The 26,391-nt window shown below is 36.3% G+C and overlaps 1 protein-coding gene across 9 annotated transcripts in view, besides 1 other annotated feature; it reads left to right on the top strand.

Moving 5' to 3' along the window:
- CHM (CHM Rab escort protein) overlaps positions 1-26,391 on the top strand; it is a 186,379-nt gene that overhangs the window by 71,252 nt on the left and 88,736 nt on the right. For 6 of the 9 annotated variants that reach the window (NM_000390.4, XM_047441793.1, NM_001362517.1 and 3 more), the window contains 4 exons: positions 12,255-12,642; positions 17,330-17,446; positions 18,332-18,452; positions 19,929-20,154. In NM_000390.4, the coding sequence (NP_000381.1) occupies positions 12,255-12,642; positions 17,330-17,446; positions 18,332-18,452; positions 19,929-20,154 (852 nt within the window). Of the gene's footprint in view, positions 1-4,720; positions 7,214-12,254; positions 12,643-17,329; positions 17,447-18,331; positions 18,453-19,928; positions 20,155-26,391 lie in introns of those variants that run through there. The other 3 variants (NM_001362519.1, NM_001362518.2, NM_001145414.4) reach the window with 2 other exon arrangements.
- Positions 12,236-12,436: a silencer, noted in NCBI's record as "peak7401 fragment used in MPRA reporter construct". NCBI's record gives its function as "represses an SCP1 promoter by STARR-seq MPRAs in K562 erythroleukemia cells {active_cell/tissue: K562}" and the evidence as "EXISTENCE:reporter gene assay evidence [ECO:0000049][PMID:32103011]".

The following is a 26,391-nucleotide window of genomic DNA, read 5'->3' as shown; positions in this document are numbered from 1 at the left end:
AATAATAAAGGAGAAGACAGCATCGGCAAGCTGAAAGCAGACTTTGGGCCATTTAGTGTATGGGTAAGTGGCTTTTCATATCAGAAGATCCCTCAAGGCCGTCACTATATTATAGTACAGTGTAACAGCTGATGATCACAGTTGTATTCCAGTGTCTTCAGGCAAAAGTTAAATAATGTTCTTTATCCTCCACTTGAAAAAGTAGAGGATTTGAAGTACGTTTTAGAAAGATGAGTATTAAAAATGATTAGAATAAAAATTGTACCCTTTTAAGAGACGAGGTTTTGTTATCTAGAAAATTCTCTTATTTCCTCTTGAGTAAGTAAGAGTATCACTATATAGTAGATCTTTAACATTCTTAAAGGATACATTGCAAAATCTTCATGCATACCCTTTTGTAAATAATGAAAAATATGGTACAGGTTTCTGGCTTTTTGTCGTTGCTTTTTGAAACATATGTGTTAGTGATGCTAATGTTACATTTTGCAGATATGGAGTTTGTGTGTATTTAGTTCCATACAATTTTATCACATTTGTGGGTTCATGTATTCACTGTCACAGTCAAGTTACAGAGCAGAACAGTTCTATCACCACAAGGACCCCTACTATTATTTTTCTGTAAGCACATCTGATCTACTTCTTACTCACCCCTACCATTCATAACTCCTGACAATCACTAATCTGTTTTCCAGCTCTATAATCTTGTCATTTTAAGAATATTATGTAAATGGAACTGTATAGTATGTAATGTTTTGGCATGGGCTTTTTTTTACTCAGCATAATTCCCTGGAGATTCATCCAGGTTGTTGTGTACATCAGTAGTTTGTTCATTTTTCATCACTGAATAGTATTCCACAGTAATGGGTTTACCACAGTTTGTTTAATCATTCACCCATTGAGAAACATCTTACTGTTTCTAGTTTTTGCTATTACAAATAAAGCTGTTATGCAATTTTGTGCATTGGTTTTCATGTGACTTTCTCTGGGATAAAAGTTTTCATTTCTCTGGGATAAATACCCAAGTGTATAATTGCTGGGTCATATGGTAATTGCATATTTAGTTTTAAAAGAAACTGCAGAGCTGTTTCAGAGGAGCTGTACTATTTTACATTCCCACCAGAAATGTGTAAGTAATCCAATTTCTCCACATACTTACCTTAATTTGGTGTTGTCACTTTCTTATTTTAGCCATTTTGATGGCTCATTTTGAATATTTTTTCATGTTCTCTTATTTGCCATCCATATACCATTTTTGGTGAAGTGTCTGTTCATGTCTTTTGCTTGTTTTTAAAATTGGAGTAGTTTTTTACTGTTGAGTTTTCAGAGTTAAAAAAAATCCATTCTAAATATGTGTCCTTTGTCAGATATGTGGTTGGAGAATATTTTCCCCATGACTCTAGCTTGTCTTTTCATCCTCTTTAAATAGGATATTTTGCAGAGCAAATATTTTTAATCTTGATGAGGTCTAATTTATCAATTATTATTATTTTGATTATTTTGATTATTTTGGTGTGAAGTCTAAGAACTTTTTGCCTACCTATAGGTATAGATTTTCTCTTTTTTTTTTAATTATAGTTTTATGTTGTACGTTTAGATCAGTGTTCTTTTTTGTTTTTCGATCTAAGGATATCCAATTGCTTCAACACCATTTATTGAAAAGGCTATTCTTCCTCCATTGAATTACTTTTATACCTTGGTCAAAAATCAGTTGATTGTACTTGGATGGGTCTATTTTGAGGTTCTTTATTCTGTTCGATCTATATGTTTTTTCCTCCACCAATACCACATTATCTTTATTACTGAAGCTATGTGATAGGCTTTACTATCAGATAAATTCCTCCCAATTTATTTTTCCTTGTCAAGATTGTTTTAGATATTCTAGAGTTTGTGCCTTTCCATATAAATGTTTAAATAAGCTTGTCTATGTCTAAAGAAAAATCTTGCTGAGATTTTGATAACAATTACTTTAATACTATAGTTTGGGAGGATTGACCTCTTTATTATTTTGAGTCTTCCAATCTATGAACATGGTATGTCTCTCTACTTATGAAGCTCATCTTTGATTTTCTTCAATAGAATTTTGTAATTTTCAGCATACTGATCCTGTACATGTTTTACTAATTGCATACCTAAATATTTAATTTTCTTTGGAACAATTATAAATGGTATTGTCTTTTTAATTTTGGTTTTCACATATTCATTGCTACTATCTAGCAATGCACTTGCCTTTTATGTTTTGATTTTGGATATTTCTTGAAATCTTGCTGAATTTACTTCCCAGTTCTGGAAGCTTTTTTGTAGATTGCTTGGGATTTTCTACCTAGATAATTATGTGTACAGTAAAGAGGAAAAGTTTTATGCCTTTCTTTTCACTGGCTGCTTTTTTGTTTGTTGGTTTGGTTTTGTTTTTAAGAATCTATTTTCTCTTGTGAGTCATGTGTTTTCCATCCACAGCCATATGGCAACAGGTTAATTGTGTTTTCTACTTATCCTTAGGCTCACTTAATAAGCCCTACTTTGTTCTTTTTTCCCAGAAAGGAAGTTCTCATCACTTCCTGAGGACATTTTAATTATATGCTAATGCTGGGCAATCATGTCTCTCATTTGCTGAATATATTGTTCTTGCACATGGTGTCTCAGCATATGCAATTCAAATCCATAATCTGGCCAAATGACAAATTACCAAAAGTATTACCCTTAAATGATCATTCATGCCAAGAGTTTACTGTATTTGCTTGTATCAAGCAAGTAAATAGATATAAGTCAAACTTGAATCATTGGTGCACTATATATGTGGGATATTGTTTTAAATGTTTTTGTAAATTTCCAAAACATCATGTAAAAATTACTTTATAATGATATGAAGGCTAAAATATTATGACATGTCTTGTCACTTTAGACCAGATGACTTAGCTTATTTATAGAGTTGGTGTATATTAGGGTAGAATCTATGGTTTGATTTCTTTCTTTCTTTCTTTTTTTTTTTTTTTTTTTTTTTTTTTTTTTGTCGAGACAGAGTCTCACTGTGTCACCACACTGGAGTGCAGTGGCGTGATCTCGGTTCATTGCAACCTCTGCCTCCCGGGTTCAGGTGATTCTCCTGCCTCAGCCTCCCGAGTAGCTGGGACTACAGGCACGTGCCACCATGCGCAGCTAATTTTTGTATTTTTAGTAGAGACTGGGTTTCACCATGTTGGCCAAGATGGTTTCGATCTCTTGACCTCATGATCTGCACGTCTTGGCCTCCCAAAGTGCTGGGATTACAGGCATGAGCCACCGCGCCCGGCCTATGGTTTGATTTTCATATATGCCACTTGATTATTTAACATTAAGGAAGAGTAAAATGTGTATTTCTTGGTTATAAACAATGTCATAGCCATACCGATGAGAGGTGACAGCGTGCTGGCAGTCCTCAGAGCCCTCGCTTGCTCTCGGCGCCTCCTCTGCCTGGGTTCCCACTTTGGCGGCACTTGAGGAGCCCTTCGGCCCGCCGCTGCACTGTGGGAGCCCCTTTCTGGGCTGGCAAGGCCAGAGCTGGCTCCCTCAGCTTGCAGGGAGGTGTCGAGGGAGAGGCACGAGCGGGAACTGGGGCTGCGCGTGGCGCTTGCGGGCCAGCTGGAGTTCCGGGTGGGCGTGGGCTTGGCGGGCCCCGCACTCGGAGCGGCCGGCCAGCCCTGCCGGCCCCGGGCAGTGAGGGGCTTAGCACCCGGGCCAGTGGCTGCGGAGGGTGTACTGGGTCCCCCAGCAGTGCCAGCCCACCGGCGCTGTGGTCAATTTCTCACCGGGCCTTAGCTGCCTTCCCACGGGGCAGGCCTCGGGACTGCAGCCCGCCATGCCTGAGCCTTCCCCCGCCACCGTGGGTTCCTGTGCAGCCCGAGCCTCCCCGACAAATGCCGCCCCCTGCTCCACGGCGCCCAGTCCCATCAACCGCCCAAGGGCTGAGGAGTGTGAGCGCATGGCGCGGGACTGGCAGGCAGCTCCACCTGCAGCCCTGGTGCGGGATCCACTGGGTGAAGCCAGCTGGGCTCCTGAGTCTGGTGGGGACGTGGAGAGTCTTTATATCTAGCTCAGGGATTGTAAATACACCAATCAGCACCCTGTGTCTAGCTCAGGGTTTGTGAGTGCACCAATCGACACTCTGTATCTAGCTGCTGTGGTGGGGCCTTGGAGAACCTTTATGTCTAGCTCAGGGATTGTAAACACACCAGTCAGCACCCTGTGTTTAGCTCAAGGTTTGTGAGTGCACCAATCGACACTCTGTATCTAGCTGCTCTGGTGGGGCCTTGGAGAACCTTTGTGTCTAGCTCAGGGATTGTAAATACACCAATTGGCACTCTGTATCTAGCTCAAGGTTTGTAAACACACCAATCAGCACCCTGTGTTTCGCTCAAGGTTTGTGAATGCACCAATCGACACTCTGTATCTAGCTGCTCTGGTGGGGCCTTGGAGAACCTTTGTATCTATACTCTGTATCTAACTAATCTGATGGGGATGTGGAGAACCTTTATATCTAGCTCAGGGATTGTAAACGCACCAATCAGCACCCTGTCAAAACAGACCACTTGGCTCTACCAATCAGCGGGATGTGGGTGGGGCCAGATAAGACAATAAAAGCAGGCTGCCCAGCCAGCAGTGGCAACCAGCTCCGGTCCCCTTCCACACTGTGGAGGCTTTGCTCTTTTGCTCTTTGCAATAAATCTTGCTGCTGCTCGGTCTTTAGGTCCACGCTGCTTTTATGAGCTGTAACACTCACCGCGAAGATCTGCAGCTTCACTCCTGCGCCCACCGAGACCACAAGCCCACCGGGAGGAACGAACAACTCCAGACGCTCTGCCTTAAGAGCTGTAACATTCACCGCGAAGGTCTGCAGCTTCACTCCTGAGCCAGCGAGACCACGAACCCACCAGAAGGAAGAAACTCCGAACACATCTGAACATCAGAAGGAACAAACTCCAGACGTGCCACCTTAAGAGCTGTAACACTCACCGCGCGGGTCCGCGGCTTCATTCTTTAAGTCAGTGAGACCAAGAACCCACCAATTCCGGACACACCGATAGCATTCTAATATTTTACATTTGATTGCAAGGAGGACTAGGCGAGAATTCAAATGGATTAGTGCAAACCCATTACCACTGCTTGGAAAATACGTCAAAGTATTTGGGCAATATAATTCTAATATATGTATTCTAATATAAATATATAGGGTGTATTTATATATTATGTATTCTAATATAAATATATAGGATAGTTATTTTTTGATTACCATGACTTATTTAAAAAGTATTCTGAAGTATTATTCAACTTAAAGGTTTTCATGATCATTTCAACATTAAATTTAATACGTTGGGTATTGCAAAACAGGCTAAAGACTAAAATGTAAATTGTAGTAATTATTCTATCATAGGCTAGGTTCAAACATCATAGACTGTAAAGAACTATCCAGATTGTTTTATCAGAGCTTTGTTTTCCTGATTCTTCCTTACAATAAGTGGGCTACTTAATATTTTGGACCTAAAATATTTTTGCTACACAAAGATTGTTTTTCATTGAAGTGATTTTTTGTGATTACACAATCGAGTTATGGAAGGGAAATGAAAAAGGACTAGTGTTTATTGGATATTATCTTTGTGGCAACTGCTGTAACCTGTTGCTTTACATATTAATTTCATTTATTCTGTGCAGCAGTCATGTGCATGAGCTATAGGTACATCTTACTGACAAACAGAAGCTCAAGGAATGCTAGAGATAGCAGAGCCAAATTTGAACTTGTGTTTTTCTAACTCAAAAACGTGTGCTATTTCCAGTGTATCATGTTGTATTTCAGTCATCAGGTAAACACATGTATGCACATCAAGGGAACCAACCGTTCCACCAAGTGAATTAAGTATTTCCTTTGTGAAGACTAGCACCTAAGAAAGTGCATTTACTTCTTTAATTTACTGGAATACTATATAGTATTGTAATGTAGTTATATCTGTAATGAGAAATTAAAGTGCCTAACTCCCAGTGTTAGGAAGCTATGGGAAGAATCCAATATTCTTTAGTTGTTGAGACCAGTTTATATGCCATGGGATTTTTTAAATTGATACATAATAATTGTATATATTCATGGGATACAATATGTTTTGGTACATATAAACATTGTAGAATGATCAAATTAGGCTAATTAGCATATCCATCACCTTAAACCTTTATTATTTTTTGTGAGAACATTCAGAATCATCTCTTTTAGCTATTTGAAATATGCAATGCATTATTGTTAGCTATACTCACCTTACTGTGTGATAGAGTACCAGAATGTATTCCTCCTACCTAACTGTAACATTATACCCATTGACCAACCTCTCCTCATCTTCCCCTCCCTCCTGTTCTCCCCAGTCTCTGGTAACCACTATCAAGTTTTTTAGATTTCACATATGAGTGAGATCATTCAGTATTTTTCTTTCTGTTCTCAGCTTATTTCACTTAATATAATGTTCTCCAGGCTCATCCATGTTGTCACAAATGACAGGATTTAATTTTTTTTATGGCTGTGCAGTATTCTATTGTGTATATATGCCACATTTTCCTTGTTAATTCATTTGTTGATGGGCATTTAAGTTGATTCCATATTTTCGCAATTGTGAATAGTGCTCCAATAAACATGGGAGTGCAGATGTCTCTTCAACCTACTGATTTCATTTCCTTTGGCTATATACCCAGTAGTGAGGGTGAAGATTGCTGGATCATATGATAGATTTATTTTTAATTTTTTGAGGAACTTCTGTACTGTTTTCCATAATGGCTGTACTGATTTGCATTCCTACCAACAGTGTGTGAGAGTTCTTCTTTCTTACCATGTAATAGTTTCATAGTTTATGTGGGGAAATAAAAGTAGCTATTGTTTCTAGTTTTAGATCTTGAACAGACTATAAAAAGGTGCAATATATTAATTCACACTTAAATCACACAAACTCAAGTTATTCTTAGGTAAAATATCGTTGCTTGTTAATTGCATAAAGTCATCTAGTTTCTTTAGTGAGAAGAGATTTTATCTTTCTAAAATATTAACAATAGCTTTATACATTTTCTGTCCTATTTTCTGCATTGTACTGAACGTTGTTTCCCTTTTTCTGGTATAATATTAAAGCAGGATGAAAACTTATTTGTTACCTTCAAATGAACCAACTCTAATGTATTCATACCAAAAATAAAGATTTTTTTGCAATAGGAATCTAAAATTCTACTGATTTATTTTGAATTCTTAAATTTCCACTTAAAAATTATACAAGCAACAGGAGCTTCTCGAACACTAATACTTCTAATTTAGATGAAGCGAATACAAATAAAATGTAAAATCACCTGTAATTTTTACAGTTTAGAGGAAATTACTCATCACTGTCTACAGTTAAGTGTGTTTTAGGCCAGAATTGAAACACTGCCCAACTAAATGTGGTTTAAACAAGTCCATAGGTAAGTGGGTGGGTGGGTAGGTAGAGGATTTGTAATTGTGCTGCTTCAGCCCATCAGAGCCCTGGGGCAGCACTCCACACTTCTCTTAGCCTTCCATTTGGAGTTACAAGATGTTTGCCAGGATTTCAAAGAGGTTCTCACATAAGAAAAAAACTTCTAAACATGAGGAAAAGGGGAAGAGGTTTTCTTAACATGTTTATGCTTTTTTATTTTACTGGAAAGTCTTCAACAAGGGCCCCCAGCAGACTCATCATTATCTTATTGGCTGAAACTGGATAATGTACTCACTTCTAAATCAAACACCAGCAAAGGGAGGTAAAATTATCATAATTGGTTTTGATCTGTCATGATCCATCCCCAAGGACTGAGCAGCTTCTCTCTAATATTGGAACAAAATTGGAGCTCTTAAAGCAAAGAGAAAAAGGGTATTTGTTGTTGAGTAGACAACCAACAGTCCTGCTGCACACCATTTTATGAAGTTTTGTTCTTGGGTAAACATGACAAGAGGTTGACATTTCACCTGTATTCTATAGTATGTGTTAACGTTTTAGGTTGGTAACAAACTGGGAAATATATATCTACCAATGTATCATATTGCAGCAATTCAAAATTGATTTCACTTTTTATATTGCTATTTTGTAGAACAACAATTTCTGAATAGTCTGATTTTTGTAATTCTTATGAATAGCCATTAAACATTTATTTTAGGAATAAACAGCTGGGTAGCAGTATAATATATACTGTGAAAATCAGAAATAAATGGCCTTAGAACAAAGTATAAACATCAAAGTAAAAGAATACAATGTCTGCAGCAAGTCGTATTGGGTAAGAGAAGGTGCAAATGGCTGAAAAATAAATGGTGAACACCTGTGCTGAATAAATTAAACACCTGTTCCTCAGTTTTTCATTTGATTCCTCTAAAAGGCTGTTACAAGGTATTCATAAGACACATTTACTTTGAGGTGTTTCTTTGTTATTACTATTAATTGGGAAGCAGTACTAGATGATATCAGAATATATACCTCCAAACTCTCAGAGTAGTATATGAATTTTGGCAATTAGTGAAAAATGCATTTACAAAAAGCAGTGTTAAGCAGTTTTTATTAAGAAAAATTATCTAAAAAATATTGTTACATTATAAATGACCTTTGGAATTAAAGCTAGCAATGTAAATGACACTAAATTTAATTTGTGAAATCAATTTTGATAGTGAACATTTTTATAAGAACTAATGATGCAGATTGTTTTCCTTTAGATAAACAGTCTGCAGCTTAAGATGGTTCGACTTAATGATTTTTCAACTTTGTAATGGTTTTATTGGGGTATTAAATGCACTTTGTCTTACTATATTGGGTTTATCAGGACGTAACCCCATCATAAGTCGAGGAGCACCTGTGTATGTTAAAATCATTGTAATATCTTAGAACTCCAAGGTTCATTTGAAGGCTTATAATGCAGCTACATTGTTTTGTAATTGGTAAATGTGTTTTTATAGTTTTCAAACACTTTTAAATTAGTAGAATTGAACTATTACTGGATTCTGAGGTTTTCTCTGAAAGGTTGAATATCTTTTTAAGAAAATGTCTTTTACCACAGTATAAAGTTTTAAATTTGGGGAAAGATAACCCTTTTAGATGAACAGAATTTTGCTTTCTGAGGATGTCAGTGGAGTTTTAGGAGCTTTTGGGTGTCTTTATATTTTCTCATTAGGTATTAACTTCAACCTTGGCAGAACTCCAAAAATACTGTGGTTGTTTTTAATGGAAAGTGAGGACAGTGTTGTGTTTTTATTGCTTGTGTTTTCCGTAGTGCTAGGAATCTCACCAAATTATAATGTTGAGAACAGTAAAACGATAGTTTATTGATGTAGAAAAAATTTCCGAAGAATAATTTCTTCTCTTCGCTTATACCTTTAATTAAGTATTTTGACTTATATCTTCCAGGTTGTCCAGTACTGGTTAATGTATTTCATTCACTCTATAGGGCCCCCATCACAGAATGTAATAGAGAACCACTGACTAGATCATTTGCTATGCTCAGTTTTCACAGTGTCATCATCATAGTCTGTAATAAGAGAAGTTGCCATATTTTGTCTTATCTGTAAAGTGTAATTAATTATCCTTTCTTAAAATTAAAGGCATGGAACTTTTGCTTTAAGAGTTAGGCATGGAACTTTTACTGAAAAACAAAAAATTAGGTGTGGAACTTTTGCTGAAAATTGTCCCCTTAGATCCCTCATGTAACACACTTTAGTTTTGTTGGTTTTCAAGATAATAAAAGTGAATAAGAGTGTGAACAATTCTGTAGAAAATATATAAATCACCTTTCATATTATGACTCTTCATTCTTAATGCTGTTAATAGCGATGCTATTATGTGCTTATATGGCCAATGGGCTTTTGTCATGTGAATGCAGAAAACCTAGGTATACAGGTTTTGAGTTGACTGTTGAGCTGTGGGCAGTTTAACAATATCTTATTTTTGAGTAGTTTTTTTTTTTTTTTTTTAGACGGAGTTTTGCTCTTGTTGCCCAGGCTGGAGTGCAATGGGACGATCTTGGCTCACTGCTACCTCCGCCTCCTGGGTTCAAGTGATTCTCTGGCCTCAGCCTCCCAAGTAGCTGAGATTACAGGTGCCCATCACCACGCCCAGCTAATTTTTGCATTTTAGTAGAGACTAGGTTTCACCATGTTGGTCAGGCTGGTCTTGAACTCTTGACCTCAAGTGATCCACCCACCTCGGCCTACCACAGTGCTGGGATTACAGGTGTAAGCCACCGTGCCCGGCCTGATTAGTATCTTATCTTTGATTAACCTTTTAGAGTTTATAAACTACTTTTCATATATGTTAGCTTCCTTATCTCACAACAGTTTCATAAAAGGTAAGGCAAATGGACTGATCCCCATTTTATATGTGGTGAATCAGAGAGATTAAATGACTTGCCAAGTGTTTCCTAAGTGATAAATCTAGGATAGAACAAAGTGGGTGTTTTCCTCACTTTGGTTTCCTAGATCTCAAAAATATTCATGTAACATTAATGATATCAATTTGTTTCTTCACTAGATTTTATTAGAATTACTATAACAGTAAATATGGCATTTTATTTCTTGACATTTGAGTGTTATTCTATCATTGTCCCTCATTTTTTTTTGTAGTGTTCATTGTGTTATTTTTAATAAGGCACTTCTTTTTTTCACTTAACTCGGACTTTCTAATTTACAATACCGTGTTTTTTTCTTGGCCTTATTTTTTGTGTTTTTTGCAACAAGTTTGTTTCGCATTTGAAACAAAAATAGTCTGCACGTATAAACCATTATTAATTAAGCATTTATTGGATACCACATCTATGGAGCAGTGTGGTAGGTGTCGTGAGGGGCACAGAAGGAGCGGTGCTAAGGTATTCCCTCAAGGAATTACAGTCTGATTTGGAAGATAAAGGATATACTGGAAAACTAAAGGACTATTAAAAAGGAATGGATAAATACATGCAAGGTAAACTGCATATGTGTATTATGGGAGCATGGTATAATAGAGTGATGAGTGTAATTGGAGTAAGGAAGACTAATTGGAAGTTAAATTTAAACTTTTTCTTAAAGTAGTTTGCTAAAGTATGTGATTATGTTTGAGAATGGAAGAATTGTGATATTATGCAGAGTGGGAAGAAAAGGACAGAAGAAACAAATGATATGAACCAAACTGTCATGATTTGACAATTAGAATTGATAAATTCGGAGTTAGAGATGCCATGTTGGAAAGTAGGTGGAGATGAAACCAGAAGATTAGTAAATAAGGAAGGTGGTTTGGTTTAGAGACAGGAAAAGGAAGATTTTTTTGTGGGGTATTTGATATAAGGAAGGGCTACTGTTAGGGCTACTGTTAGTCAACTAGCAGATTTTTACTTGCCAAGACCAATCACATACAAGGCATTCTGCCAGGTATTGAGCAGTGTGGCAACTCAGTGAAAATAGTGGGTTCTGTGGAGGATAAAATATCACAGAAATTCATAAAGCAGGCAGACTGAATGGGAGCCTGTTCTATAAATCAAGACAATGGTGGACTGAGAATGTTAGCTCCAATAATAAATTTGGAAATGGGGCTTCGACTAGAGTAATAGACATCAGTACTAAAATAGGCAGGAAATTATACAGAAAGGTCCTATTAGATACCACATTGTGATAGGCCAACTTAATCTTTTCAAGGCAGATATTTTTCCCTTTATTGAAGGTCTTCTGTCGTATCACCAAGTCAGGAATTCCTCAGTAATAATCATCTTTGATAACTACCACTGTTGAGTATTTACTATGTCCCAGGCACTGTGTCAGGCTCTTTGCATGCAGTACTTAATTTAATCTTCAAAACAACCTTGTGGTAGGTGGTATTATCTCTGTGTCATAGATGGGTAATTTAGGTGGTCTCAGAGAGGGTAATTTAGGTAATTACCTAAATTGAGGGTAATTTAGGTGGTCTCAGAGAGGATACATAAGTATCTAAGTTCGCAGAGCTTACTAGTCATATGGTCAGGGTTTGAACCAAGATCTGTTATTCTGAAGACTGTGTTCTTCATCACTGTGGTAATTTGCTTCCAATACAGTTCCCCTGTCTGTCTTAAATTCTCAAAAATGTGCATGTGACATGAAATCTTTATATCTTTCAAATCTTAATTTTGTTTCATATTTTACTGAAACATTAACAGATGAATGTTTAATGTCTGAGTCACATAAGCAAAACGTACACTGAACTTGATAAAAGGGGTAAGGGAATATATATATAAAGCCTGGTGTTTATTATTATATTTCTTATTAGTCAGGATTTGCATGAAGATGTCGAAGAAGCTGGTGCACTGCAGAAAAATCATGCTCTTGTGACATCTGCAAACTCCACAGAAGCTGCAGATTCTGCCTTCCTGCCTACGGAGGATGAGTCATTAAGCACTATGAGCTGTGAAATGCTCACAGAACAAACTCCAAGCAGCGATCCAGAGAATGCGCTAGAAGTAAATGGTGCTGAAGTGACAGGGGAAAAAGAAAACCATTGTGATGATAAAACTTGTGTGCCATCAACTTCAGCAGAAGACATGAGTGAAAATGTGCCTATAGCAGAAGATACCACAGAGCAACCAAAGAAAAACAGAATTACTTACTCACAAATTATTAAAGAAGGCAGGAGATTTAATATTGATTTAGTATCAAAGGTAAGTACTAATTTTACCCATCTTTGCATTGAAAACAGTATCTGGGCCCATAAACCCAGTTTTTGTAATTCTCTGAGATGCAGAACATTTGTTTTGTAAAGAGATAGTAGCCAGATGTTTGTAATTCATTTAAAATATTCCTTAAGTACAAATTAAAAACATATTTAAAGTGCTCACATGAAAATGCTTTAATTATGTTTTTAATCTATACCTGAAGAATACTTTTGTGCTTGAGCACATACTACAACCTAATATTCTCTGGACACTATGAATTCTATCAAAAGAAAAATTCTAATGAACCTGTTTAGAAATCCATGTTATTTACAGTCAATTTCCATCGATTCTTTTAGCCTTTATGTATAGTAACTATTTTCACAACTGTATGATGATGAATACTCAGAATAAACCAATGAATTTTTAAAAATCGTGTTCACATGGACACAGCGAGGGGAACATCACACACCAGGGCCTGTCGGGGTTGGGGGTTAGGGAAGGGATAGCATTAGGAGAAATACTTATGTAGATGATGGGTATGTAGATGACGGGTATGTAGATGACGGGTTGATGGGTGCAGCAAAACACCATGGCGTGTGTATACCTATGTAACAAATCTGCACTTTCTGCACATGTATCCCAGAACTTAAAGTATAATTTAAGAAAAAAGTCTCAAAAAAATCATGTGTTCAGGTTTGAAAGCTTCAGAGGAAAATTTAATAGTGATGGAGGCAGGAAGGCTGGGAAGAAAGCTATTGTCTTCGGTTATGTTCCTGAACATAACTAACTTGAATGTTAGTTCACTGTAACTTCACAGGAGGTCCCTCCATCTTAGAAGCGTACAATATTGCATTTGGTTTATAGGAAGCAAGACTATTTTTAGTGCAAAAGAATAGAAAATCAGTAAGATAAAGGATTATGGCCTTAAAGGGTCATGATACAGGACAGGGTAAAAGTAGAGAAAAACAGACTAAATCCTATAAGTTGAGAGCTAACAATAAGTAATTGAAAAGAAGTAGGAGAGGATAGTGAATAGCACAAGACTTGCCACAGAACTAGCACAGAACTAGGCTTTTCAATTTAATGTACTTTCTTCAAGTTCCAAGTGATAGGGGACAGAGAGGGACCAAAACATTTCCCTTGACAAGTTGTTTCTGCAAATCCCATATCCTCATACTCTTGCTCCCTTTGAACTTGATGCCTGAAAATATAAATATCTTTTTACTACCCATTTTTCTTTCTGTCTGTCATGTAGCACTCTGTGTCTGATTTTGCATAGTTGGCTATTGCATTGGTTCTACTTCATACTTCCGTACTATCTCTCCCACCTCCATCTACTTTGACCCTGTCATGATTTGAAATCTAGCATTTTTTCCACATTACCTTGGCTGTTCATCTGTGGATGGAAGTTTAATCCTAGCTCACTAATAACCTTCCTGGTCCCATGAGCAGTACTCTATGAAATAGGTTAAACAAAACATAAAAACTGAACAAGTCAAATAACAAATGGGCTTTGTGTGACAATTCCATTTTGAAGTAATTACTTGGAATTTGGAATGTTTTACCTAAATAAATGATGATATAAATGTGGTTAAGAATCAAGGCTATTTCATAAAAGTCTGTAACTTTTATGTTAGCTGAAATTTAGTATATATCTTGCAAAGGGAAATGGTAGAAGACGGTGCTGTTTCAATTGTAGGAATTGGTGTAGAAAATTATTCAGTTGTATAAGAAAATGAATGCTGGTTGTGGGAGGAAAAAGACAATTGAATTAGAAGTTGACACATTTGAAGATACCCTGAAGGAGACTTCTGGGTATTTTCATCGGTTTGAATGGTTAGTAATAACCAGTTCTCTTATGGTAAGTAAAAACCAAACATGTCTAGAGGCAGTGGACTAGGCAGTTGGGACTGCGTCCTGCAGAGTTTCATGGGTTCATACGTTCTACAAAATAACTAATAAACATTTAATGTACTCATTTTCAAAACCAGAAGTATCTTAATCACATATAACCATAGTAATACAGGAGATTAATTTTCCGTTTTTAAAATGTTAAGTCATTTAATACATATTCAGTGCATGCTAGATGGAAAGCAATGTATTCCATGTTATTGGGGCAATTGGTCACTCCTTAGAAATTTTATCTGTTCTAATAATTGCAGTTAATAAACGTCTAAGTTTAGGATGATTGCCAAATATCTATCTTAAAGCCCTAAAGCCCTACCTCCTTTTTTTTTTTTTTTTTTTTTTTTGAGACAGAGTCTTGCTCTGTTGCCAGGCTGGAGTGCAGTGGCGCCATCTCTGCTCACTGCAACCTCCGTCTCCTGGGTTCAAGTGATTCTCCTGCCTCAGCCCCCTGAGTAGCTAGGACTACAGGCGCGTGCCACTATGCCTGGCTAATTTTTGTATTTTTAGTAGAGATGGGGTTTCACCATGTTGGCCAGGATGGTCTCGATCTCTTGACCCCGTGACCTGCCTGCCTTGGCCCTCCAAAGTACTGGGATTACAGGCGTGAGCCACCGTGCTCGTCCAAAGACCTACCTCTTTTCTAAAGTCCAACTCAGTATCTCCAAACTAGTTGACATTTCTATATGCGTTCAACCTCAAAGACATCATGATATAATTAAATACTGTGGGGCTTTACAGTTGACAATACACATTCATGTATATAGCCTTTTAAAAAGTAATAGCTCAAGGTAGGTTAGTTAAATAAAATACGTATAGTGTCATACTGCTCAGACTAATAGAGAAGGTCAAAGATGAAATTCTTAAAATGAAAGCTCATTTCTAAGTAAGTCCATACTCTTAATAATTATGGAACCAACATGCTAAGGAAAAATTGTTAATTAATAAATCTAATTTCCATTATTGTAATCAAATTGCACTGCTCTTTAGCCCCTCATCACTGTGGTAGATCGCTTAGAGGGTAGTGAAAAAGAGGCTTAGGCTGAGCGTGGTGGCTCAGTCCTGTAATCCCAGCACTTTGGGAGGCTGAAGCGGGCGGATCACCTAAGGTCAGGAGTTCGAGACCAGCCTGACCAACATGGTGAAACCCTGTGTGCTACTAAAAATACAAAAAATTAGCTGGGCGTGGCATTGCATTCCTGTAATGCCAGCTACTCGGGAGGCTGAGGCAGGAGAATCGCTTGAACCTAGGAGACAGAGGTTGCAGTGAGCTGAGATTGAGCCACTGCACTCCAGCCTGAGCAGCAGAGAGACTCTGTCTCAATAAAAAAAAAAGAAAAAGAGGCTTAGATTCTGATATGTACACATTTATTATTTGTGAGCTTCAGAAACAAAAATCTAGTATAATTTTAATTGAAATTTGTTTTTGTTCTTGTGATATCTTAAATGCATTATTTTTCAAGCTGGCATTAAACCTTAAGGTTTATTGGATCTTATTAAATAAAAATGCAGTTTCATATTTTATATCTTAATGTTTGTGACATTATTATGGCTATGCAGGGATCCTTGAGTCTCAAATGTGTATCTTTTTAAACAAGTGATTTTTGAAGTAACTATTTTTTATCATTATTATAGAGTTAAGAATTGGCAATATATTCTTTAAAACATGGTCTCTTTCAGTAATGTAGTGTGTTAGGAAGAGGGTAATGAAGTAACGTGCCATATTTAATCAGGATGATCAGATTAGCTTCAAAAAAGTGATGTCAATTTTGTTTTGCAGAATGCTGAACTATTAGTTTATAAAATTTTACTTGAATGGTATTGATTTACTGATAGTCTTTACTGACTTATTAGTTGCTCAGACTAATGGTTTAGATTGATTTTTGAGATTCCTTTTTCTTTGTATAGTAAAGCTAATTTTCCCATTTATTTATTATAGATGTAACATTCATTTTTAATATTTATTGAGTTATAGGCATTAAGAGTATCTTAATATAGGAAATAGTCAAATCTGTTGCATTTAACCATACGGTTAACATGCTAGATAATACTGTTTACATTATTGATTTTATCTCTCTGATATTACTTATGAGATGTTGAAAGATTAAATCAATTTCTCCCATACATGCCAGCAATAATCATCATCTTCACTTTTTGAGAAAGACATATCTCATATAAACCCAGACTTCTAGAATTACAGAAGTACCTTATAATTTGACTTTTTCAGTGTAAATGCATCACAAATATTTTTTTCTTTTTTTGATGGGGTAGGGAGGTTCACTGGACTGATTTCTTCTTATAACTACCTGGCTTTGTGTAAGACTATAGATTCTTATCCAAAACCCTCAGGGCCTGGTGTATTCTATCATTAAGATTAAAAAAATATATTTTAGAAAGTAATGAAGTACATATACTGATATGTTATATGTTAGGTTAAATTATTAGCAGGGTCTGAGGAGGAACTCTAACTAAACACATTATTTCTGCAGTGAAATATATGAATATTTATGTTAATTTGGACAAACAAAGCCAGAGTGCCTTATCAGTATGGATCAGGTTTTGCTGCTAAACATGTTTTGTAAAAACTTATGGATTGCAAAGTTTTTTGAATTTTGAATTTCAGCTAATCAATTCTGAGCCTGTAATAGATTGTGTTATGTATTATAATATTTATAGGTATGATTGTTTCTACAAATAATAAAAAATATAGCAAAATTATGTATCTTTATTGTTTTCCAATTTTTCTACTATTTCAACTTTTATCTTGTAAAATATTTTCTTTGTACAGCTGCTGTATTCTCGAGGATTACTAATTGATCTTCTAATCAAATCTAATGTTAGTCGATATGCAGAGTTTAAAAATATTACCAGGATTCTTGCATTTCGAGAAGGACGAGTGGAACAGGTACTGTGCTGATCAAGAATTGTAACTGGGCATCAGCTTAAGTTATTATGGTTTGTTTTGGAAAGATAAGCAAATAAGATTGTTATTTTCCTCATAAAGCAGTAAATTCCAGTCCTCCGTGGTGATTTACAAATGTAAATGCTTAATTAAAATTTCTAGTGCTAATTTTCTCATGGCTTACTCTGCAGCTTGGTGTTGGTACCAAGCAGCACACAAAAAACCAAAAAGCACACCAGAGTTACTATACCCAAGACTAGTCACACAAATCCTTTTCTCCCATTAATCAAGATTTTGGAGAGGGAAAAGAAAGAAACGGTGATTTTTGCTGTCCACTTGATCAGATTCCACACAGAGGAGGAGGCCCGGAGCCTGGTTGGGAAAAAATTCTTACCCTTATGACAGCTGATCAGATCCTGGGTTCTTCACTGCAGCTTCCAGAAGAGCAGAGCTTTGCTATCCTGCTCACAGCACCAAAACTGTAGGGGCCAAGGGAAACACTCCCTCTTAAGCCTCTGAAGTTTCACTGAAAAATCAACTCACAAAGGCAGATTAATTGGAGAAAAGGCATAAAAATGTACTAACATGTACATAGGGAGAACCACAGTGTTTGTTTTAGATAGCACTGCTAAATTTTTCTCTGTTAGGATGACATGCCGTTGGCCTTTTAATGGCATGGGGAGTAACTTGGCAGAATTAAGTAAGAAAGCTCACAATTAGCTCTGAAGTTAGCAGAGATGCCATTAGTACTGATGGACGGTGATGTGAAAAAGCCTGGCTAGAGTGGAAACGATAATCCTGTTATATGTAAAGGGGAAAAAAGTGTAATTTGGAATAGTTATATCATTAGGAAGCAGTTTCTTAACTTAAAATCATAATATTTTTCAGGTTCCGTGTTCCAGAGCAGATGTCTTTAATAGCAAACAACTTACTATGGTAGAAAAGCGAATGCTAATGAAATTTCTTACATTTTGTATGGAATATGAGAAATATCCTGATGAATATAAAGGTATTTTTTTCATTAAGTAGTGCTCTCCAATTATTTGACATTTCTTACTATTTTAATATGCTTGCTCTGATTTAGTGAGCCACTTATTACTGTTTTAAAATGCATTCTAACTCTGCACTATCAATAGGTTAGCCATTAGTAACATTTAGCTATTTAAATTTAAATTAATTAAAGTGAAATAAAATAAAATAAATTCAGTTTCTCAGTCTTATTAGCTGTATTTCAAGGGCTCCCATAGCCCCATGTGGCTACAGTGCAGATATTTTCATTGCTGAAGTGGCATGCTAGATTTTAATTTTTATTCTTATTATTTAAATACTACTGTCAACTGGCTCTTCATAGATGATAATCTGTTTTCATGATTCCATTATTTTTTCTCATAAGTAAAAATACTATATATTTTATCATTTTCCAGGATTGCTTTTGCATAGAATCTTGAACTATTTCGTTTGAAAAAAAAAGGCTAGATGGTATATGGGGAAAAATACTGGATTCAGAAAAGGCATGGTTTCTATTCTTGGCTTTGACCTATTTCATTATGTGATCTGGGGCCAGTTACTTCATTGTCTGTTAAAAATTGAATATGCCATTTTAGTGTCAGAGCTATATACTTTAAGTCCATTGGTCTGAAAATGTTATCCAAAATTGGAATATACTATTGATAATTTATTTATAAAGTTACAATGAGAAGTGCAGCGATATTTTTTTTCCTCTGTGAAATAATGAAAGTCTAATCCTTGCTCTTAAAGCTTCAAGTCTACTAGGTACTGTCATGTTGTTATCCACAGTGGCTGTGTAAAATTCAATTCTCTCAGTAAATTTTCATAATTTTTATTTATGTAAATTATTTCTGTAAAGTTTTTGTCTTTTATCATGGGATTTATTTCCCACCACTAACAGTCCAATTACATTATATTCTGTTCTTGGTTTAAAGGAGTAACTTCTGGGGGTCCCGTATGTTTTGATGTGATTATGTGGCCATAAGACTGATTCCAGTAGCCACATGGAAATTCATTTCATTATTTTTTAGTTTATTTTCTGAGTATCAGTGAGAAGTATACGTTTTACAAAACTCACATATTTATCATTTTAAATCAATACATTCCCATGTTGTCATAGTTGTTTAATATTTTCAGTACCATTATTGGCATTATCCTGCAGGTTTCATGATAATAAAGTGAGATTATTGCCAACTATGACAACCCATTGAGTTATTTAATATTTTCTAGTTTTTTTTAAATCCATGAAATGCTCAATCATAATTCATCATTTAAAGCTAAAAATTGTGCCATTACTCCAAATAAGAGAGAGAGATTGTTTCCATTTTTTCCTAAGATCAACCATCAGTGTCCAAAATGTAATACCACCTATGTCCTTTGTGAGGTCTGTGAAACACACTTCATCTCCTTTTTGTGGGGTGGTTTTAAATAGAAGTTTAGTTCTGATTTTAAGTGATAAAATTTCATCTTTTCATAGGATATGAAGAGATCACATTTTATGAATATTTAAAGACTCAAAAATTAACCCCCAACCTCCAATATATTGTCATGCATTCAATTGCAATGACATCAGAGACAGCCAGCAGCACCATAGATGGTCTCAAAGCTACCAAAAACTTTCTTCACTGTCTTGGGCGGTATGGCAACACTCCATTTTTGTTTCCTTTATATGGCCAAGGAGAACTCCCCCAGTGTTTCTGCAGGTAAGTTTGCCATTGATTTTCTTGTCCCTTCTAAAAGTGATACTTGAATAACAGATGAAAATTAGGCAGGCAAAAATGAGATTTATTCAAGATTTAGTATATGCAAATATATACTTTATTCTATTTATTTTTTATAATCTATTTACCTACCTATCTACCCACCTAAGTGATATATTCAGTGTGGCCTCTTTTTGAGCTTGATAAAAATACTATAAATTCCTTTTTCCACTCAATAGCATGATGGAAAGTATTGTCATTGCATATAATTTTAGTTAATTTTTTATTACTATATAGTATGTTATTGTGAATACACCACAATCTATTTTTTCATTTTTCTGTTGATGAACACAGGATGTTTCCAGTTTTTTGAGGTTAACACCCTTGTGTATGTTTCAAGTTGTGTATGTTCAAGAATTTCTCTCGGAAACATATCTAGGGGTGGAATTCCCCAGTCCTGAGATACATGAATGTTAACACTTTACAACATCGTGTTCAGTTATTTCTCTAGAGGGCTGTACCAATTATAACCTTTTAGCCGTACATAAGAATACCCAAAGCTTTACATGTTTGCCAACATTTAAAATTTTTTTGTCAACCTAACTCACATAAATTATCATTGCATTGGATTTTTATTTTTCATTTCCCTAATTACCTATGAAGTTGAACCTTTTCTCATATGTTTACTGGCCATTCATGTTTTATCTTCAGGGAATACTTGTTTGTGTCTTTTTTTGTTTGTTTTACACATTTTTAAAAATTTTTATTTTTTGTGGGTACATAGGAGGCATATGTGTTTGTGGGGTACATGAGATAGTTTAATACAGGCATGCAAAGTGTAATCCATCATGGTAAATGGAGTATCCATCCCTTCACACATTTATCCTTTGTGTTGAAAACAATCCAATTATACTCTTCATTTTAACATGTACAATTAAATCATTATTGACTGTAGTCACTCTGTTGTAATATCAAACACTAGATTTTATTCATTCTTTCTAACTACGTTTTGTACCTATTAACCATTCCTACTTATCCGCTGCCCCCTCAAAACCCGCCCCAGGCTCTGATAACCATCCTTTTACTCTCTGTCTCCATATGTTTAATTGTTTTAATTTTTAGCTCCCGCAAGTAAGTGAGGATATGCATTGTTTGTCTTTCTGTGGCTGGCTTATTTCACTTAATATAATGACCTCCAGTTTCATCCATGTTGTCATGTTGTTGCAAATGTCAGGGTCTCATTCTTTTGTTTTTTTTTTTTTGGGAGATGGAGTCTTGCTCTGTCACCCAGGGTGGAGTGCAGTGGTGTGATCTCGGCTCACTGCAACCTCTGCCACCCAGGTTCAAGTGATTCTCCTGCCTCAGTCTCCTGAGTAGCTGGGATTACAGGCACGTGCCACCACACCTGGCTAATTTTTGTATTTTTAGTAGTGATGGAGTTTCAGCATCTTGGCCAGGCTAGTCTTGAACTCCCGACTTTGTGATCCACCCATCTCAGCCTCCCAAAGTGCTGGTATTACAGGCGTGAGCCACCATGCCCAGCCAGGATCTCGTTCTTTTTATGGCTGAGTATTACTCCAAGGTGTAACTGTACTACATTTTCTTTATCCATTTATCTGTTGCTGGGCACTTAGGTTGCTTCCAAATCTTGGTTATTGTGAACAGTGCTGCGACAAATGTGGTATGTAGATATCCCTTTGATACACTGATTTCCTTTCTTTTGGGTATATACCTAGCAGTGGGATTGCTAGATCGTATGGTAGCTCTATTTTTACTTTTCTGAGGAACTTCCAAACTGTTCTCCACAGTGGTTGTACTAATTAACACTCCCACCCACAGTGTTCAAGGGTTCCCTTTTCTCCGTATCTTTGCCAGCATTTGCTAGTGTCTTTCTTTTGAATAAAAGTTATTTTAACTGGGGTAATAAAATATCTCATTGTAATTTTGATGTGCATTTCTCTGATGATCAGTGATGTTGAACACCTTTTTATATGTCTCCTTGTCATTTGTATGTCTTCTTTTGAAAAATGTCTATTCAGATCTTTTGCCCAATTTTTAGTCATATCATTAGATTTTTTTCCTGTAGAGTTGTTTGAGCTACTTATATATTCTGGTCATTAATTCCTTGTTAGACGGGTAGTTTGCAGATATTCTCTTTCATTCTGTGGGTTGTCTTTTCACTTTGTTTATGGTTTCTTTTGCTGTGCAGAAACTTTTTAACTTCATGTGTTCCCGTTTGTCCATTTTTGCTTTAGTCGCCTGTGCTTGTGGGGCATTGCTTAAGAAATCTTTGCCCAGACCAGTGTCTTGGAGGTTTTCTCCGATGTTTTCTTGTAGTAGTTTCAAAGTTTGAGGCATTAGATTTAATTCTTTAATCCATTTTGATTTGCTTTTTATATACTGCAAAAGATAGGGGTCTAGTTTCATTTTTCTGCATACAGATATCCAGTTACCCCAACACCCTTTATGGAAAAGACTGTCTTTTACCCAGTGTATATTCTTGGCACCTTTGTCAAAAATGAGTTCACTGTAGGTGTGTGGATTTGTTTCTGGGTTCTCTATTCTGTTTTTTTGGTTTATGTGTCTGTTTTTATGCCAGTACCATGCTGTTTTGGTGACTATAGTTCTGTAGTATAATTTGAAATAAGGTAATGTGATTCCTCCAGTTTTATTATTTTTGCTCAGGATAGCTTTGGCTATTCTGGGTCTTTTGTGTCTCTATATACATTTTAGGATTTTTTTTATTTCTCTGAAGAATGCCATAGATATTTTGATATAGATTGCATTAAATCTGTAGATTGCTTAGCATAGTATGGACATTTTAACAATATTGATTCTTCCAGTTCATGAACATGGAATAGTTTTCCATTTCTTTGTGTCCTCTTCAATATCTTTCATCAGTGTTTTATAGATTTCATTGTAGGAATCGTACACTTCTTTGATTAAGCTAATTCCTAGGTATTTAATTGCATTTGTGGGTATTCTAATTGAGATTACTTTTTAAAATTTCTCTTTTGGATTCTTCAGTGTTGACATATAGAAATGCTATTAATTTTGTATGTTGATTTTATACCCTGCAACTTTACTAAATTTGTCAGTCTAATAGGTTTTTGATGGGGTCTTTAGGATTCTCCAAATATAAAATTATATCATCTGCAAACAAGGATAATTTGACTTCTCTCAGCCTCTCCCAGTGGCCACCACAGCCACTGGTCAACTGGGAGTTCTGCCAGGCCACCCCTGATGTTCACTTAAACCCCAAGTACCCTTCAGTAAGCTTGTGTTGAATGCTTCCAGGCCTGGGCCTTACCCTTCATGGCAGTGGGCTCCCCTCTGGCCGAGGGTAGGTCCAGAAAGGCTTTCTAAGAGCCTAGGCCTCGACTTGAGTTCCCAAGAGCCTGCTTGGTGCTCTGCACCCCTGTGTCTGAGTTGGTGTTTAACACACAACACAAAGTCCCCTTTACTTTTCTCTCTGCTTTTCTCAAACAGAAGTCTTTTGCCATAGATACCACAGCTGGGAATGTACTGGGTCTCACCTGAAGCCAGCATGTCTCAGAATCTCACCCAAGGCTCACGGCATACTACCTGGGTATTACTGTTGATTATTTTGTAGCCAAGGGCTTTTAACTAGCAAGTGATGAGCCCTGCCAGGATTGGGTCCTTCCTTTGAAGGCAATGGGTTCCCTTATCGTCCATGGTATGTCTAGAAATGTTTTCTGGGAGTTAGGGTCTAGAATGGTGGCCTCATGACTCTGCCTGGTGTCCTATCTTATTGTGGCTGAGCTGCTATCCAAGATGAAAGACAAAGTCCTTTTACTCTTTGCTCTCCTCTTCTCAAGCAGAAGGAATTAGACACCTTCGTTGCTGTGAGCTGCATGGCCTAGGGTTTGGGGAGGGGTGGCACAAGCACTCCCTTAGCTGCCCAGGCTGTTTCTCCCTAGGTCATGTGCTGCCCTAGTCCATGGGCTCTAAGCCCAGCCTAGCATTAGCACTTGCCTGGGAATTACAGTCCTTGTGTCCTAGATTGCCTTTCAAGTTTACCTAGAACTCCAGAGCACTTTAGCCCATTGTGACAAGGCTTGCTGAGACACTCGAGTTCCAGCTGCTGGGATGGGCCATTCCTTTCTTGCTAGGGCTGGTCCAAATGTTCTCTCAGTGCCACCTGAGCCTAGCATAGCTTTGCTCTCCACTGACAGGGCAGCACCAAGTTCAATGCTACATCCCCCAGTTGCTATGCTCTCACTCCCTCAAATGCATAGATTTCTCTTTCCACACCATGTGGCCACTGCCGTGGAATTGGGGAGGGTTGGCATTGACCATTCAAGACTGTCTTCAGTGCCTCCTTCAGTGATAGGAAGTTGCAGCCTGGTACTGTGATTGCTTACCTGATTTTTGCTTCTTATGATGGTTCTTTTTTTGTGTGTAGTTAGTTGTTAAAATTCCGCATTCCTGTGGGAGGGATGATCACTAGAGGCATCTATTTGACCATCTTGCTCCACCCTCTCATTGTTGACTTTTGCCCATTTGTCTATTGGGTTGTTGTCTTATTGATTTGTAGGAGTTTTAAAATATATTCTGATTAGTGATCTTTTTTCAGTTATATGTGTTGGATGTATTTTGTCTTATGGTTTTTATGATACATAAAGGTCATGAAGATTAATATAGTCAAATAGAGCAATCTTTTTTTTTTATGCTTAGCTTTTTTTGGGAGGTCATTTAGTATACCTGAAGTATAGAGACAAGACTGCTTAGATTTAAGTCCTGACTTTTCTGTTTATTATCCATGTAACTTTGGGCAAGTTTTACGACCTCTCTCTGTTTTTCAGGAATCAAATTTGGGATTTTTTTATTCAGTTGTAGCTTTGTGTCCTAATTCATTATTTTCTGCTCTTTATTATCTCCTTTGTTTTGCTTTCTCTGGATTATATTTAGATCATCTCTCCCCTCCCCTGCCCTTGGCAATTATTAGGCTGAAGTTCCGTGAATTAAGTATTCATCTTTTAAATATTTTTTAATATAAGCATTTAAGAATAGTTCCTCTAGTTTACATCTACTGGTGGCAAATGCTTTCTAGTTGTGTGTATCTGAAAATAACTTTTTCTTCTTTTTTCTCTTGAGTGGAAGTTTACTGAGTAAACAATGCTAGGCTGACAATTTTTGTTAATACTTTAAAATTTTATTCCATTGTCATTTGTGTTCCATTTTTGCCACTGAAAAGTTCAGTGTCAGCCTACTTTGTCATTTTTTATTATGACAAGTTACAAAGATATCTTTTTTTCTCTCACATTGTTTTTAATATAGTTTGTCTTTTGTATTCTATATTTTTACTACAGTGAATCTTAGGTGTTAATTTCTTTGTCTTTATCTTGCTTAGTATAGGTTGAACCATATGAAATTAACATTATTCAACCATTTTAGACCTACATTATCCTATGGTTCAACTAAATACATTGTGCTTTTTCTGTCTGTAAATTTATGTTTATTGTTTTGGAAATTTATCAGCCAATATCTTTATAAGTATTGTTTTTTCTTCCTTTTCTCTTCTCGCCTTTTTGGAACCCTAAGTAGGTAAGTTTTAGAACTTAGCATTCTCTCTTCTGTATCTCTCAATATCTTTTTCATATTTGCTATCTTCTTGTCTTTCTGGCTGCATTCTGGGTACCTAATTAAGATCTGTATTCCAGCATATTGATTCTCTTCACCTGTAACCCATTCATTTTCTTTCTTCAATATTATCTTTCATTTTTAGAAATTCTACTCACCATCTTCTCTGTCATTCTTGATTTTTTTTACTTGTTCATTTTTGAAATTATTTATTCATTTCATATATAGATATTTTACATTCTCTTTCTGATAACTCTAATATTTAAACTTCATAACGATATAATATTGCCGTGTATTGTTTCTACTGATTCATCTCAGTGATTTGTGTGTGTGTGTGTGTGTGTGCAATGCTTTTCCTTAGCTGAGAGTTTATATTTGATTGATTTTAATCTGGGGACCCAAATTGGGAGTGCCTTTCTTCAGGGATTATTTGTGTTTGCTTCATCCTCACGGCACTACAGAATTAGGATCATTTTAGTTCCCTTTGGGGGTCGTCACTTAATAATGCAATACAACCTCCACATAGTGATACCATTACAAGATATATATATATATATATATATATATATATATTTAATTTCAGTGTTTATTGCTCAAAGCTTTTATTTCAGGTTAGGGTTTGTATTGTATGTACAT

This window comes from Homo sapiens, chromosome X (assembly GCF_000001405.40).
Source record: "Homo sapiens chromosome X, GRCh38.p14 Primary Assembly".
Lineage (NCBI taxonomy): Eukaryota > Metazoa > Chordata > Mammalia > Primates > Hominidae > Homo > Homo sapiens.
The sequence above is the reverse complement of the archived record's forward strand: the minus strand, read 5'-3'. Positions and strand labels throughout refer to the sequence as shown.